Consider the following 18756-nt stretch of genomic DNA (forward strand, 5'->3'; position numbering starts at 1 on the left):
ACAGGTATTAAAACAAATCTCATAATGCATAATCCTTCATAGAAGTTGCTCAAAATGTCAATTCAGTTTCTGCTAAGAGCTTAGTTTTAACTATATTAATTGTATTTTAAAAATAGCTCTTCCATTAAAACCTGACTTTAGAAAGTGTCAGAACTTATAGTTGTACTCTCTTTCTACTCTCCTTCTGCTGTTCCTAACAATAGATTTCTGGGAAATTAAGGGCCAAAATAGATAAAATCCTGTCAAGGAGGTTATACAGTGGTCCAAGAAATTAAATGGCCCAGTAAAGATGTTTGAATTAGTATGTCCCTAGTCTTATGCTATAAAATGGAAAAAAATAGGCAATTATATATAAATGCCATCCTCCAACCTGATTATCACAGTTGGGTTACCTAGAAGCAGGGCAGATTCTTGTACCAAACACCAGTTGGATTTTGAGACATCAGATGCTCCCCTAGGGAAAAGGGAAGGACTTTCTACGCATTTCTAGGTGACAAGGTTGCTCCTATTGGCCTATGGCAATTTTACAGAAGAGGGGAAGCTCTGAGCTATTGATATCAACATTGACAGGAGGGGGAAATTTGCACACTGTTCTAATAAAGGGGATTTAAATGGAGACCAACATACATTATGCTATTCCCATGCCTCTGTGCTGTGTCTTTTGATAACTACAGCCTATTCTTGCTAATTGCTGGCTCCCTTATTTAGACTTTGGATTAGTCAAGGTTCTCCAGAGAAACAGAACCTATATCTATGTATTTAAATATCTATTTATTTATTATTGATTGACTTATTATGAGATTATGAGGCTGAGAAGTCCTATAATTTGCCGTCTGTAAGCTGGAGACCCAGGAAAGCTGGTGGTGTAATTTTGCCTGAGTCTGAAGGCTTGAGAACCAAAGGAGCCAATGATGTAAATCCCAGTCCAAGCACAGGAGAAGATGAAATGTTACAGCTCAAGCACTGAGGCAGGAAAAGAGGGGCAAGTTCCTCATTCTCTCCACCTTTTGTTCTATTCAGGCCTTCAAAAGGATTGGATGCCGCTCAACCACATTAGAGAGGGAAATGTACTTCACTGATTCTATAGGTTCAATGCTAATCTCATCCAGAAACACCTTACAGAAACACCCAGAAACAATGTTTAATGTGGACACCCCTGGACTACTCAAGTTTACATATGTAATTAACCATCAAAGTCCTTAAATTTTTCTTTTGAACAGAGATAAATCTTTACCAGAATTTTCTCCACTGGCAGAAATTATCACTAATTTTCTTAAAATGTGTAAGTAGTCTCTATATTGTTGACAATACCTTATTTCTAAATTAAAAATAGAAAATAGTGATTCTAGTCCAGGATTTAATGATAATAACATATGATTTAATATTATTAAATTTCTCATTTAGATATGAGAAGAGAATATTCAAATCTGGCAGATTCTTACAAGATGTGTTATTAAAAACAGAAGTTATTTCCTTAAGTCTCAATATTATCCTTATTTTTAAAATACTTGGGGACACTGTTGGTGTCAGTGGGAAATTGGCACATAATTATATGTTCATTTCCAACTCAAGAGAAAAGGAATGAATTGGTAGCAAGGCTGTTAGAAGGTTCTAGAGGGAGGAAGTCATATACCATAGATCCTCCTCCCATGAAGAGCTTTGCTTAAGACATTGTACACTTGTTCACAAAAATATGTCAACCTTTCAATCCACACATTTGATATTGAAAGCATAAGAATTTGCCCTTAACCATGATCCCAGAATACTTATACTTTGGACCCTTGTTAGAAACTATAACATCAATTATCTGTTTTCTGACTCTTACCAAAAGTTAGAAAAGCAGAGTTTATAAGAGGATATTTTGAGGGCATGCACTTCAGTCTTTTCAAAAGTTGTCCCACCATTATTGGATAAGCAGAAAGGTTTATCCTGGCATCACACTAGTTTTCTTCTCGCTGAGTATAGAAATTAGAAGTATACAATGGACAAATTCTGGAGAGACCCACTGCAGGTTGGATTTGATTATGATCTAATTGTTTTCACTGATATAGAATAAGAGGCTTTAGTTGAAAGCACATAAGTTTCTGTTAATAGTCTGGCCAAACAGTTGTAGTTTAAAACTAAAGACCATCTAAATATGCATCTTTTGGATAGGAGAGAAGGAAAAAAATCTAAATTAAAAATTGGCTTCAAACTAAAGTTTAGAAAGGATTTTAAGTGAGATCATGTGGTTCAAACTAAACGTACACACAAATCACTATCTAAATTGTGACTATGAATCTTAGCACACAAATTACTAAACTAGAAAGTAGTTGGACAATTCTTTGCTCTCCGGGGAGTGCAAAAACCTCCAGGCCTGTGTCCAGTGGGCTGGATGCCTGGTTACCTTCAGACTGGCTGGACACTTGCTGTCATTACTGAAAGCCTATCAAGTGGGTCAGAGCTAGCTCTGGCAGGTGGGATCTGGGGAAGAGAGAAGACCATGTGACCAAGTTTGTTCATTCCAGAAGGCTACTCCACCTTTGCCAAGATAAAGTATAGCTTATCTCTAGGAGGAAAAGAAAACTGTTTTAAGAATTGCTTATTAGGAAAAAAAAAGTTAGACCATTTACAGATTTTTAACAATATATTTGTATTATATATAGAATATGTATGTGTATTTGTTTGTATATATGCCATATACATATATATTTTTCAAATTTTAAAGCATTTTTGTTCTTAGAGATGAAACATCTTTAAATTTTTTTATAATAAAACATCCAAGTTGACTCAAAAAGAACACTAGACCCTTAGGTTTTGTCAGAAAATGCTAAAAGTAGTTGGCTTCAGGGCTGTATTGCATGATTGACCCTTATAGTCATTTTATGTCCCCTTGTGTCATGAAACCTCAGCTGCTTGCTTCTTTAGGCTATTGCAGCTGCTACTGACACAGGATGGTAACGGAACATTGATACTACTGCAGGAAATCTCTTGCTCTGCTCACTACTTCTGGTCTCCTATGAAGAATTGGGCCACAGGGGCAAAATCTGGCTTCTTTTGAGGCTGCCAAAACACCAGTAGGCCCAGCCCCAAAGTGAGGCAAAGTATTAAATTTCCATGGAAAAATGTTTACCATGGGGAGACAGGAGGGAAGTGGGAAGCAGCAGGATGATTTTTCTCCTTTTCCTCCACTTATGAACAGTTCCAAAGCATGGTGTTATTATATAGCCTGATCAAAGACATCCTTATGGATGTGCCTCTTCATGAAGCAGGCCAGCTTCATCATGCACTACTTGAATTTGTTTAACCTCTTCTCCAACCCACCTCACATTTCCCACTCATTTGTTGCTTTTGTGATTGCCTCAGGCTTTGTTTTCTAGTCAACCGTGGCCAAGGCTGGGGCATAATCCTTTAGCTACTGCTTGATAAAATAATTACCAAATCCTTTAAATTCCAACCACATACCAACATTTCCTAACTATACTTTTTTCCCCAGGCTTTATTATCATTAAGAAAACACTAGATACAAGCGAGAGAAAAAATGGGGAAGACTTAGTTGAAAAGAAGTACCAGTGGTTTTCTTTCATATATTTATTGATGATTTCTAATTTCTGGGTTTTTTTTCTTGCATATTTTTAGTTTCATTTTTTTTCCTGTAGTGCAGGTATATTCTTTATTTTAAAAACTGTTAAGAGAAAGCAAGTGAAAATATTTTATGCTTCATTTTTAAATATTAGATCTATTATTTATTTTTTCTAATGTACTTTAAAATATGTTTTACAAGACGTTTTGTTTTTCACTGTGGTATCTCTCAAGTACAAAACCAGAACTTAGTAGACATTCAACAAATGTTTGAATATGGAAATGTATTGAAGGAAGCTTATGAAATAGGTATTTTACTCATTTCCAAACTATAATTTTGGTCTCAACATCTCTGCCATATTACCTCTTCTTCTATTTTAACACCCTAGTCCAAATCCCTATCATCTCTTGTCTAGACAAAAGCATCCTAATTTCAATCACTGCTTCTACACTTGTCCTGCTCCTACTCCAGCTGGCAATCAGAATAATTCGTTAAAAGTTTAAATTAAGGCATCCATAGAGGAAAAAAAGTAAAACCATCTTTTTTTTACTGAAAATGATTCTATATGCAGAAAACCCTAAAGACTCTAACAAAAGGCTACTAGAAATGATAAATGATTTTAGCAGGGTTTCAATATACCAAATCAATATCAGTAGCATTTCTATACCCCAATAACACACAGGCTGAGAGCCAAACCAGGAACACAATCCCATTTATAATAGCCACAAAAAAAATGAAATAAGTGGGAAGACAGCTAGCCAAGGAGGTAAAAGAGCTCTACAAGGAGAACTACAAAACACTGCTGGAAGAAATCAGTGATGACAGAAATAAATGGAAAAATGTTCCATGCTCATGGATTAGAAAAATTAATATTGTTAAAATGCCCATACTGCCCAAATAAATTTAAAGATTCAACATTATTCCTATCAAATTAACAATGTCATTCTTCACATAATTAGAAAAAAAAGACTCTAAAATTCATACGAAACCAAAAAAGAGCCAAATTAGCCAAAGCAATACAAAGCAAAAAGAACAAAGCCAGAGGCATCACACTAGCCAACTTCAAACTATACTATAAGGCTACCATAAGTAATCAAAACAGCACGGTACTGGACAAAAACAGATATATAGACCAATGGAACAGAATATAAAACTCAGAAATAAAGCAACACACCTACAACCATGTGATCCTGAACAAGGTCCAACAAAAATGAGAACAAGCAATGGGGGAAAAACTCTCTATGCAATAAATGGTGCTGGGCTAACTGGCTAGTCATATGCAGAAGAATGAAACTGGACACTTACCTTTCACCACATACAAAAATTAACACAATAGCGGTTGAAGATTTAAATGTAAGACTAAAATTATAAAAAATCCTAGAAGAAAACCTAGAAAATGCCCTTCCTGACATCAGCCTTGGTGAAGAATTTATGATTAAGTTCACGAAAGCAATTGCAACAAAAACAGAACTTGACGAGTGGGACCTAATTAAAGAGTTTCTGCACAGCAAAAGAAACTACCAACAGAATAAACAAACAACCTACAGAATGGTAGAAAATAGGCACAAACTGTGCATCAGACCAAGGTCTAACATCCAGAATCTATAAGGAACTTAAATCAATCAACAGGCAAAAATTAACCCCATTAAAAAGTGGGCAAAATAGATGAACAGACACTTCTCAAGAGAAGACATATAAGTGGCTAACAAACGTGAAAAAATGCTCATGATCACTAATCATCAGAGAAAAGCAAATGAAAACCACAATGAGATACCATCTCACACCAGTCAGAATGGATATTATTAAAAAGTCAAAAAACAACACATGCTGTTGAGTCTGTGGAGAAAAGGGAATGCTTATACACTATTGGTGGGAATGTAAATTAGTTCACTATGAAAAGCAGTTTGGATATTTCTCAAAGAACTTAAAACAGTATGCTACCATTTGACTCAGAAATCCCATTGCTGAGTATATACTCAAAGGAAAACAGATCATTAGATCATTAGAAGTACATGCACTCATGTTCATCGCCACACTATTTATAATAGCAAAGACATGGAATCAACCTAGGGGTCCATCAGTGGTGGATTGAATAAAGAAAATGTGGTACATGTACACCATGGAATACCATGCAGCCATAAAAAATAATAAAATCATTTCCTTTGAAGCAGCATGGATGGAGCTGGAGGTCACGATCCTAAGCAAATTAATGCAGGAACAGAAAATCAAATAAGGCATGTTCTCGCTTATAAGTTAGAGCTAAACATTAAGCACACATGGACATAAACATGGGAACAATAGACATAGTGGACTAGTAGAGTCGGGAGAAAGGGAGGTGGATTGAAAAAGTACCTATTGGGTATTATGCTCGCTACTGGAATGCAATATACCCATGTAACAAACCTGCATTTGTACCTCTGTATTCAAAATAAAAGTTGACATTTTAAAAAAAGTAAATTCAAGTATGCCATTGCACTGCTTAATACGTCCAGAAAAAACTCAAGCCCCTTATCAAAGCCCATGCAATCTAGCCCCTGCTTGCCTCTGATCTTATTTCCCCCCATTCACACCAGGTTTTCTTTCCTCCAATGGGTGGCGTTCATTTCCATCTGAAGAGATTTGCACATACTGTTCCTTTTGTCTGCAGTGCTCAGACTCTGGGTCTTGAAATGACTCATTTTTGTGGTCATTTCAGCCTTACATTAGATATGACATCCTCAGCAAGGTTTTTCCCTAGCAAACCAATCCAATTTAACCCTCTCCCATCCTGTTCCTTATGGTCATTTCTTCTTGTAGTACCCTGGCTTCCTTTCATCCTAGAATTTACTGCTATCTGAAATTATATTGTTCATCTATTTGTTTAGCTTTTTAAGTATTCGGACATGGCTTTTGTTTCCTCACCCAGCATACAGACACTAGAATGTACACTCTGGGCAGGTGGGCATTATTTGAGTTTTGTACAACACCTGGAACAGTGCCCTGCATGCACCAGCCGCTGAATATATACTTGTCTCTATTGGTTAAGGTAGCACTGGTATTTTGTAATTTCCTTTTAAAGTTCTTTCATCTTAGAAATGTTATTCTGAAACCTCACACAGCTTTAATCTGAATCCAGTGAAAGATAAAGAAACGCTAATGAAACCCTTCCTTAAGAAGTGTGCTGCATCACAAAACTAAATAATATTCAGCTATTTATTTGGGGAAAAATGGGCTAAGTAGTAAGAAGACCCTTAGGAAGAACTAACTGTTCACTGCTTAAAAATCTCACATTGTTTTGCTTGTTGATAACCTTTTTAAAATGCACATACAAATCTTTCTGGAATTTCAAAATGCATTAGTACTTTTACATTTTGTGGTCAGTGTTTTCTATGTCTAGTGAAAATCCTCAAGTTGAGATAATCCTGGTTCAGGTTTTCTTGGAAGCAAATACTTGATATATTTCTCTGTAACATAAGACTGAGTTTCCCCAAAGCAATTTCATCAAGTTAATTGCTCCACCGTCATCTAAAAGATCTTTCTTCCCCATTGCTTTTATCAGGAACTTGACATCATCAGACAGTAAATCAAGAGGTACTGACAACTGAGACTGAGTGATGGTCCCTGCCTAGGATTTGGAATCTTTGCATGAAATAGGGACTCTAGCCACCAGCGACAAAGAAGTCAGGGAGACTGCGGTCTCTAGGAAGCACTTCCAGGAAACAGGAATTCAGGTCAGTGATCAAAATTATTAATAGCTTTGGAAGCTACATTAACATTTTAGTTTCTTCTAACTTATTTGCTTGCCACTCTCCCAAAACATACAGAACTTTCATGCACCCTTAAAAGTAACACAAAATAGAATTATATATATCCCAGTTCCCAGTTCATTGCCATGGGAATTTGCTATAAGAACATTCTCCTTAGTAGAAATAATTTTTTTATTGTGAAACCATCACTACAAAACTTCTTTATAATGTTTCCTTTATTTTTCTGTGGAAGAAGGTGCTCTATAGAGAGTCAGTAAAATTACTAGCCTTCATATTGGTTTAATATCTGCAAATGGAATTAAGACACTTTAGTGTGCCCTTCAGTCCAATGCTACCACTTCCTGGTCATGTTTAAATTGGTTTTAATTGCTTCAATGTCTGCTGATGGCAATATCCATGTTAAACAATGATTTTGGGACATGTGAAAATGCTTTTACCAATGTTTTTGTCTTGAGTCTCCAATGCTGCCTTGATGGAGGGGAAATAAGTATAAGATATTGGACATGTTCTGTGTGCACTGAAGAAAACATTTAAATGTAGTTGTTTTGGAGAAGGCATAATGTTCAGATGTCTTAATTGCTTTGTATTTTTACTTTTCTTTAGTGTACTCTGACTGTAGTGAGCTTCACTTTGCAGTAGAGCACTACTTTTAAATTTCCTTTTATATCACAGCTAGTTGGTAGGAAGGAAAGACAGATATGGATCCATCTTTCTATTTAATCCTTGGAGTACCATAAAAATAAAAACTCCCTAGTCTTATTCTTTAGTCCCTTTGCTCCACAAAGTAAAATAATTTCATACACATTTGATCACTCCACAACAATAAATTAACAGGTACAAATATCATTTTTAGAAGTCAAGTTCCAGATATTTAATTAGGGATTTAAAGATTTCTGATCAACCAGTTTAATGATGTCTGTTCTCTAACTGAAGTACCATATTTACCTATAAAAATGGGACTTATTTATTATCTTCTTGTTTCTTGTGTTTATTTAAAAAATTGAGCAAATGCTCACTGTTTTCTGACTTTGTTTCCCCTACAAAGAAAAAAAAGTACTGATATTTTTGGTCTTCACTTCATGTTCTAGTAATCTTAAATTTTTTGGCCTAGGTTTATTATACTCACTAGTAAGATAAATTATCTTGCTCAGTTCTGAGCAGCATATGCAACCACAATTATTCTTTAAAATATGTAAATACTGAGACTAGCTCTCCTCACTCTAAAATAATCTTACTTTCTCAATAACTTTTCTCTGTCTCCAAGAAGACACGAGAATTTTGGGCCCCACTGCTAAGAGTAGAATAATTAGAATTTTCTTGCAGAGTAAGCTTCATACTTACTATCCTTTAAAATAATAGAAGCAGTGAAAAGTAATGCAAGCATGAGAAATACATACTGCAGATAAATTATTCTTTGTAAAAACTTTATATGATCAAATTCTGCTTTATTTATTCTTAGTCTTAAGGTATTATTCTTTTCCCGAAGTAAAATCAGTTGGCAAATGTTTTGTAGATTTATTAGTATATCTAGATACTGAATTTTAAAAACAACCATTTTTAAGTACTTAGGATTTGCTTAGAGATGCCTGATGCATAACTGTGCAGCTTTATATCACCCAGTGCCTGTATCCTTGAGTACATTTCTGTGTAACCCACATGCCACTTGGTTTCACCAACTCTGGGCATTAGGGATTTATGTTAGTTACAGCATTGCTATATTTTATTAATTTGACTTTTTCCCATCTACACTGTAAAACACTTACCTTCCCCATACAAAGCTCTCATTCAATGTGAACCAGTAGGAATAATTACCAATGTGACCTCAGAGGAGAATCTAAGTAGACAGTGAGGCTTGGATCCTGGAGGCATCCTCACCTGGCAAACTGCCCACTCCGCATTCATAATTGACTTGATTGTGCCTTCTGCCCAAAAGGTCATATCTATACTATGGAGCTGCCTACATCTACCTTAAAGCCTCAGTAGAGTATTCCAATTTTAAATAAACCCTTCGCCCTATGCTCATTCCACCTGCTTTATTTCTAAACTGATGATAGGATTCATTCACCAGAATGAACACTGATCCATAAAACCTCACAGATATATGAATTGGACTATAATTTACATCAGTTCTTCCTGTTGTGCCTTCTTTGGAAGCCTTGTTTCCATTATTCCCCTTTTGATGAGTGCCAGATTTACTTTGGGAAAATTACTTCTTCTCATTTTTGTATAGTCAAGATGTCTTGCTCTCTGCTGCCTGAGGGGAAGAGAAAACAACTCAGGTGGGGCCACCTTGATTTTTTTTTTTTCTCTCTGAAGACTAAGAACTTGAGCAGAGTGAATACAAGGAAAAAAGTGGTGGCACTCAAACTGGTCTGCTACCTGGAATCTTTACAGCCTTGTTTTTATCTTTTTTTTTTTTCTGAGTCATCTTCTTTAGCTCTCCCATGAATTTTGAACTACAAAATATTCTTGCAGTACATTATTTTCTGCTTAAGCAAGTCAGAGTTGATTTTTATTGTTCATATCCAAATTATCCAAGCTTAAATATATGCTTTCTTGAATGTAACTCTGAACTGCATATATATTCTTTATGGAATTTATTCAATATAATTATTTATGAATGAGCACTTTGGGGTAATTTTTGACAGTTTTCAGAGATGGTTTCACAGACGGAACTGCCAACTTAGATTTTAGGCCTACTTAAAGAGAAGAGTGAATTAACAGAACATATTTCTGGTCATGCAATAAATAATTTTTGTTGTTGAGAATGATGGTAAGAGGAGTTTAAAAATATAAATAAATAAATAAATGATAAATAAATATTTTGGGTGCCCATAAAGAGTATATTTTTATGTTTGATTAAGAGGGAGATATTATGTGATAAAAGAGATAAATCTCCATACTGAAGAAAGTATTAGACACAACTGTAGAAAGTTAAATAAAATGTATGTCCTTATAAATTATAGTACAAAAATGCAAAAAACAATCATAGGCCATCATATGATCCATTGCCAAATGAAGGCTAGAGATAACAGATGCTGTGATGTCAGAGGGAGCTATGACACCCGTGTGCTAAAGTTATCTGGAAAAGTTTCATAGCAGCCTAGAGGAGATTGGATTAAACTAGGCCCAAAAGGATAAGGTTTCCAGTGAGTATCCCCCAGTCCTGCAAAGGATGCCAAACCACAAGAAGGGGACAGCTCTAAAGGGTACATAATATTATAACAATACCCTTGAACTGGCCTTTCTGATGACAAAGTGATACCTCATTTAATTTTTTCTTCATCCACCAACTAAACTCTCACATTTGCTTTCTGACTTGCTCAGATTGTCTGATTTGGTAAGTCATTTTATCAAATCTCAGAGTTCTTAATCCTCCCACTTTAGCTGCAAGTTAAGAATTGCCTTCTTCTTGCAATATTGATTTTGGAGTGTCCTCCTAGTAATGCCCTTCTCACTGGCTCCTCTCCTGAAATAATTGGCTCCTCTCTTTTTTGAGCAGCATCTTCTGGGCACATGCCAAGCTTCTCTCCTTGACAGTCTCCAAGGGCTGTACTCAGATAACTGGGAGGACTTGGGTAGACTGAGGGAAAGACACTTCAGAGTGATAAAGTAAAGGGAAAACTGCATAAGCCAGAGGGTAGATGCATAAAAGTATATAATACATTCAGGGGAGCAGCTCTGACTGATTGGAGTGACAGGATGGAATGGGGGAATAGCAGAGGATTAAAATAATAAAACAGGGTTAGAGTTAGTTTATGAGTCTAGCACCCAAATGATGTCTGGTTTTCATTCTGTAGGTAATGGGAGCATAGTCAATGTCTTTAATCAGCACCATCTATATGAACATTGGGCTTTAGAAAGATTCATTTGGAAATGTTATGGCAAATAGATTGAAAACAGGAAGCTCTTGCAACAACCTAGATAGGAAGAGATGAGGACCTTGGCTGAGATAGTGACAATGAGGATGAAAATAAATGACTGACAGTCAAAGGCATACTAATGTTCTTAAGAGCCCCAAATGGTTTTTATTGTGCTGTGCTTACATAGAATAAATTACCAGTAACTATTCTGAAGCTAGTTATTTTGTAGTTTTAATTAAAGCTTTTCAAGATCCATTTATTAAGGCAAGGAAGGTACACAAATCACTGAAGTGAGCCTTGGAAAATAAGATAGTGTTCATGTTGCTGCCATATACAGAAAGACAAATGCCATATAATTTTCCATTGATCCTGAACAGGGGAGAGTTGGCAAATAAGCCTTACACAATAGAGACAGGCCTGGGTGTGCCCCTCCCTGTATTGTCATCATCACTCTCATCTTCCACCTCCCACTTTTGGGTGCATGGGCATAATGTCCAGGGGAGATGGTCTGGTTTGTTTAATGTAATCCTGTAAAGTTTTTTCTTTTTCTTTCTTTCTTTTTTTTTTTTTGATAAGCTAGAGTATATCTCCTTTCTCTGCTGATAAAAGCAACTCATAATTAGTTTAATTTTAAAAAGTTTAGACAAAAATGAAATTCATAAAAGTATAAAAAATTAGAAAAAAAATAGCCAATCCTACCACCTAGACATATTAGTATATGGTATATATGTTTCTAGATATTTTAAATGGATTTACATATACATGAACTTATAAGATTTTTTAAAAGATGAAAAGTGCTTAAAATACATAGAAATATTTTCAACCCCCTTTTGGGAAATATTTTCAAAAACATATACATACACTTATTCTAATTATGATCATATGAAGAGTACATAAATGTGAGGTAGCTTAGGATGGAACTTTGAATCTCATGGGGGCCTGCCCTTAGGACCAGAGAGCTGTTTTAATAAATGTTTGTGATTGAGGTTTTCTGTATACATTTTGTTTAGGAGTGTCTTCTCCAGCAGAATTGACATTTGGAAGTAGGACCATCTAATGGTTTTATCTTTGGTACTGCTAAGAAGCAGCATGCAAAAGCCAGCTTTATTGTTCTGTTTGCCCAGTGAAATAAATAAAATAGCATACACCGCATCCATATCTGGCCCTGGGAATGGGACTCTTTAATCAACATCAATGCCTTCGCTGCTGATAGAGCGAGCGAGAGACAGAGAGAGAGAGACAGAGAGAGAGAGAGACAGAGAGAGAAAGAGAGATATCTGTAAGATGAACCAAATATAGCACTGAGCTAACTGACAGCTGACAGTTTTAATAAATAAATTCTTTTAGGTTACTGTATTACACCACAACCCTAACCAGACCACATGAAAACACAAACATCAAATTTATCTACATAGAAAAAAAAATGACTGGAAGGAAATGCAATCCTTTTTTTTCTCAAGGGAATATGACTTCATTTTTTTCTTCTTTTTGGGTTTCTGTGTTTTTCAAATTTCAACAGAGAACATGTTATGCTTGCAATCTGTAGAATTAATGGTTGACATTAAGGGAATAACAATAGACATTATGGAAATGTGTGTTTCTGCACTGCAATATGTTCTCCAAATAGGCAATTCAGATCCCTTTGAAATGACTAGTATGCTTTGTCTGGCCTGGTGTAATGTGTTTAAGAAGCATGCCTGAGCTGGCCAGACTGCAGCGGACTGGTTTGTGATCAAAGACTAGTGAACCTGTACTGAGATTTGATTCATGGATGCTCTAACTTTAGTTTATATCAAACCAGCAACAAACAGTATAAAGGATAGAAAGCTGATACAGATACAAGTGAGTGAGAAGATGCAGCTCCTCACAGCCTTTTTCATTCTGGGCACACACACAATGAGCCACCTACAAGCTGAGTGTGCAACCCATGAGGTCGCAGGAGTCCAGAGCTGTGGGCTGGCCGCCTCTCATATCTTTGGAAGCCAAATCACAATTTAAGACTTACCTACTGTCATATAGCACGTTCCTTCCTGTTGACAGTTACATACTTTCTAGATCAATTTCTTATATTTTCCATTTTTAATTTTTGTGAGGACATAGTAAGTATATATATTTATGCAGTACATGAGATGTTCTGATACAGACATACAATGCATAATTATCACATCATGGCAGATGGGTTATCCAACTCCTCGAGCATATATCCTTTGTGTTACAAACAATCTAATCACATTCTTTTAGTTATTTTAAAATGTACAATTAAATTATTATTGACTACAGTCACCCTGTTGTGCTATCAAACACTAGGTCTTATTCATTCATTTTAACTATTTGTCTCTTCCCCTCAGACTCCTCACTCCCCACTGTCCTTCCCAGCCTCTAGTAACCATCCTTCTACTCTCAAACTTCGTGGGTACAGTAGTTTTCATTTTTATATCCCACAAATAAGTGACAACATGGATGTTTGTCTTTCTGTGCCTGGCTTATTCATTTAACATAATGACCTCCAGTTCCATCCATGTTGCTGCAAATGACTGAATTCATTCTCTTTTTTTTTTGTGGCTGAAGAGTACCCCTTTGTGTATAAGAATCATACTTTCTTAATCCATTTATCTGTTTAAAGACATTTGGGTTGCTTCCAAATCATGGCTATTGTGAACAGAGCTGTAGCAAACATGGGAGTGCAGGTATCTCTTTGATATATTAATTTTCTTTCTTTTGCATGTATACCCAACAGTGGGGTTGCTGGATCGTATGGTAGCTTTATTTTTAGTTTTCTGAGGAATTTTCAAATGGTTCTCCATAGTGATTGTACTAATTTACATTCCCACCAACAGTGTATGAAGGTGTCCTTTTCTCCACAGCTAACATTTGTTATTGCCTGTCTTTTGGATGTAAGCCATTTTAACTGGGGTGAGATATCATCTCATTGCAGTTTTTGATTTGCAGTTTTCTGATGATCAGTGATGTTGAGTACATTTTCATGTACCTGTTTGTCATTTGTATGTCTTCTTTTGAGAAATTTCTATTCAAATATTTTGTCTATTTTTTATTCAGTTTATTAGACTTTTTCAAACAGAGATATTTAAGTTCCTTGTATATTCTGATTATTAATCCCTTGTTAGATGGGTAGTTTGCAGAATAGAGAGCTCAGAACCAAATACACACACCTACAGTAAACTCATTTTCGATAAAGGTGCCAAGAACATGCAATGTGGAAAAGGCAGTCTCTTCAATAGACGGTGTTGAGAAAACTGGATATCTATATGCAGACAAATAAAACTAGACCCCTATTCTTCACTATATCTAAAAATCAAATTAAAATCAATTAAATAATTAAATATATGAATTCAAGCTATGGAACTGCTACAAGAAAACGTTAAGGAAACTCTCCAAGACTTTGGTACGGGCAAAGATTTCTTGAGGAATACCCCACAAGAACAGGCAACCAAATCAAAGACGGACAAATGGGATCACATCAAGCTAAAAAAAAAACTGCACAGCAAAGGAAACAGTGAACAAAGTGGAGAGACTACCCGCAGAGTAGATCCGTTTCTCTTCAACAATCCTACAGGTGGCCTTTTACAGTGAGGTCCATGGAACTTAAATGTGTTTACTGAGATGTTCCTGACTTGGCTTCTCTCACTGTTCTTTTAAGTACAGATACCTGTACTGTGTAAGTATTGTGTCAATATAAAATAAATCCCCAGAAAACCAAACATTGTTAAAATGTGTCCTAACAATTCGGGGTGAGGAGAAGGATTCAGACACATGAAATTTAAACAATGACCAAAGTAAAATTCTCAGTGAAGAAGTTAGTCAAGTTTGTGAAAGTTTCTGAATAAAAAGTTATGTTATTCTTTTTGACTCGTACTGATTTATTTCTGCAGTATGAGACTTAACTGCATTTTGTAACATGGTAAGTCTATTTCAATGGCCAGAAGATGGAGCCATTATATAAAGAATTTTAAAAACTTACATCCCCAAAAAAACTACGTTTCTCTTTTTACTAAATAATTATTTTAAAACATCTTATGGAATCAGAGTAGTCTGAGTATCTTTTTGCTTTTAACAATGAAAAAGAAGTAATATTTTATCCTCACATATGCAGAGAAGTAATATATTTTTAGGCAATTAGCACCTACATAAGTGAGCATATTCATAGAGGATTCATTGCTTCTGTCCTCAATGAGTGAATTATATTAGGAGAGATACCCGTAAGGTAATAATAGAATAAGCTGTTGCATGTTTATACTGTAGAATTATAATCACATTGGTTACTTTGGACCCTGGAAAACTTTATCAAGCAGGTGGCATATGAGCTGCTACTCTTTAACAATATTATTTGGGATTCTCGTATAACAGGTAATCTGGGACTGTATTTTGACAATGAGAGGTGCTCTAATTAAAAAATAATCTATTATGTACCATCTATAAACACCATCTTCCTATACATTAATAATAATTCTTCTCTATGACCTTTTGAGCGTTTCCAAGCATTTTCCAAGTTCTTTCATATACTGCTCATAATAATCTATACTTACCTACAACAGGAGACAAAACAAAGAAGTTAAATGTCATATTTAACTAAGATCACACAGTCAGTAAGTAGCAGAGACTGAGACCCAAAGAGGCACTGACATAGAGGAGAAACTCATAGAGGCACTGACATAGAGGAGAAACTCATAGAGGCACTGTCTACTGGATTTCTCAGCTGGCACTCTAACTTCTACAGTTCAGCACATGCTTGAAACGAACTAGCAACTTAAGGAAATGAGTGCTTTCTGGATGGGTAAGTTTTAGGAGGACACATTGAAAGTTATGTGTAAAGAATATAGAACCTATGAATTAAAATCCAGAGCGGATTGAGGGGAGAATATGGCCAACTAGAGGGGAGAAGATGGCCAACTAGATTGAGCCGGGAAGCTACGCTCCCAGCAAGAGAAATCAAAATATGAAATAAGCCATCGCACTTTGAACAGATCTTTTGAGAGAAAACACTGAAAGTAAATAGAGAGGCGATGCAGACAACGAGGTGGAAGAGGGAGGAAGCTGGGACCCTGCACGGAGTTGCCAAATGTCAGAACCGGCTCCCAGCCCTTAACTGGTCCTAATGAAGTGAAAGGACCAGGTCCTAAGGAAGTGAAAGAACACTTCCAGGTCCTAAGTGTTCTAGGCTTCCAGGTCCTAAGGAAGTGAAAGAACACTCCCGCCACTGACCTCTGAAATCCTAGCTACAAGAGATCCCACGACCCCTACAGGCATTGGAAAGCTTGTTTGGAGGTCCTAGCAGGGGAGCGCAGCTACTTGTATATCCTTGACCGAAGACTGGTTCTCCTCTATCCTTCTGTTGGAGATGGTCATCCTCTTCGGCAGAGCGGGCAGCTTTGGGAGGTTCGCACCTGGGGCGGTGAAGGAGGAAGGGGACACCTGCCTAGCCAGCGAGATCAGCCAAATCAACCCTGGCGATCAATGGGCCTGGTCCCAATACCCAAACATTTGAGCACACAGCTAAGGAATATGGAGCTGAAATCTGTCGCTGAAGCTCAAGCGGAGGAGGAGCCCCCACTCTCAGAGCACTGAGAGAGGCATATATGCTCAAGGGCCGGCGCCGGAGCTGGGTGTGCCTCCCTCCACAAGACCAGCCCGGGAAGGGTGTAGCCTGCTTGCGAGCTCTGCCTGAGGGAGCCCCACAGATGGGAACAATTAACCCAGTGATCCGGGTGCAGAATGCTTGGGACAAAACTAGCTGGTTTGGTCCAGCTACTGGGGCAGACCCCGGAAAGAGACCTGGTTGGGGGAGCGTGAGCTGCGCAGACCCCACAACTGTCTGCTGGGCAAAGAACCCTGGGCCATGGGGGCCACACCGGTTGCACAACCATGGCAATCCTGCCCTACCCAGGGATCCTCCACCTTTGACCCACTGCATCAAAACATAAACCACAGATGTATCCTACAAACTGCCCTGACTCTGCAAAGTACAGGGGACCAGTGGGCACCTAAGGTTGTTAGGTTGCTATGAGATCCAGGGAGCTGGATCATAACAACCTAACAACCATGGGTTAGGGCCACCCCTAAGGAACGGAGAAGTGCAGGCAACCAGGGCCCCTCGGGCTAAGGAAAGGCTAGTGCCGCCCAATGATTGGAGGGGGTCCCCGCAAGGCCCATGGACTTGGTGACAGGGTCATCTCGTGCCTCCCCCATCTCCCACACCCGAGAGTACCGCTGCAAATGCACTGAAATACAAAACAGGTGAGCGCCTAAGAGCCTATCTGCCAGCCCTTACTATTAATATTACGCGCCGTCGCCATCTACTGGATCAAGCCTGGATTACACCACCAAATAAAAATTCTCCCAGTGCACATTGCTGGTGAAATCCAATGCAGGAATCTAGCCACAAAAAAAAAGATCAGGCACAGAGCCTCGGCCTTTGAAAGTACAAAAAAAAAAAAAAAAAAAATGAAGACAGTAGATCATACTCAACATAAACCAAAGTCAAACCCTCTAGGGATATAATATAAAAACAAAAGCTTTGTCTAAGTGACAGCAACTTCCAAAAGCTATAGGAACACCAGCCCTGACAGATACAGAATTCAGAATCTGGATGGCAAAGAAGGTCAACGAGATTCTGGAGACGCTGAAACACAATCCAAGGAAGCAAGTAAAACATTCCAAGAGTGGAAAGATGATATAACCATTTTAAGAAAGAACCAAACGGAATTTCTGGAATTGAAAAACTTACTACAGGAATTTTATAATATACTTGGAACTATTAACAACCTAATAGACCAACATGAGGAAAGAATGTCAGATCCTGAAGACTTGTCCTTCAAATAAACCCAGTCAGACAAAAACAAAGAAAAAAAAAAAGAATTTCAAAAGTTAACAAAACCTCTGAGAAATATGGGATTTTGTAAAGAGACCAAACCTGTGACTCATTGGCATTTCTGAAAGAAAAGGAGAGTGTAAGCAACTTGGAAAACACATTTGAGGATGTAGTTCACAAAATTTTCCGCAATCACTACAGGCTGATATGCAAATTCAAGACATCCAGAGAACGCCTGTGAGATACTATACAACAGTGGCCCCCAACCTCTTTGGCTCCAGGAACCGGTTTAGTGGAAGGTAATCTTTCCATGGACTGGGGAGGTGGGTATGGTTTTGGGATGATGGGAAACACATTATATTTATTGTGCACCTTATTTCTATTATTATTACATTCTAATACATAGTGAAATAATTATATAACTCACCATAATGTAGATTCAGTGAGAGCCCTCAGCTTGTTTGCCTGCAACCAGAGGTCCTATCTGGGGATGATGGGAGACAGTAACAGATCATCAGGCATTAGAGTCTTATATGGACCATGCAATCTAGATCCCTAGCAAGCACAGTTCACTTCTGGTGACAGGTTCAATCGTACTCTAAACTTCAGCATCACAAAATATACCTTTGTAACAAAACTTTGTGCCCTCAGAATCTAAAATAAAAGTTGAAAAAGACAAAAAAATTAGAGCAATTTCCATGGGTTATCAAACTTAGCTGCTCATTACAATCACCCCTGGAGCTTCTAAAAATTTCAATA

At 37.2% G+C, this 18756-nt stretch overlaps 1 long non-coding RNA gene and 1 pseudogene across 1 annotated transcript in view; one reads left to right on the forward strand and one right to left on the reverse strand.

Annotated features, from left to right (window-relative positions):
- Positions 1 to 18756, forward strand: part of SCN1A-AS1 (SCN1A and SCN9A antisense RNA 1) — a 220254-nt gene that overhangs the window by 82756 nt on the left and 118742 nt on the right. The window contains exon 3 of the long non-coding RNA NR_110260.1: positions 7101 to 7272. This is a non-coding gene — a long non-coding RNA (SCN1A and SCN9A antisense RNA 1). The remainder of the gene's footprint in view (positions 1 to 7100; positions 7273 to 18756) is intronic.
- RN7SKP152 (RN7SK pseudogene 152) lies at positions 16366 to 16680 on the reverse strand (annotated as a pseudogene).

Source organism: Homo sapiens, chromosome 2 (assembly GCF_000001405.40).
Source record: "Homo sapiens chromosome 2, GRCh38.p14 Primary Assembly".
NCBI classification, from domain to species: Eukaryota; Metazoa; Chordata; class Mammalia; order Primates; family Hominidae; genus Homo; species Homo sapiens.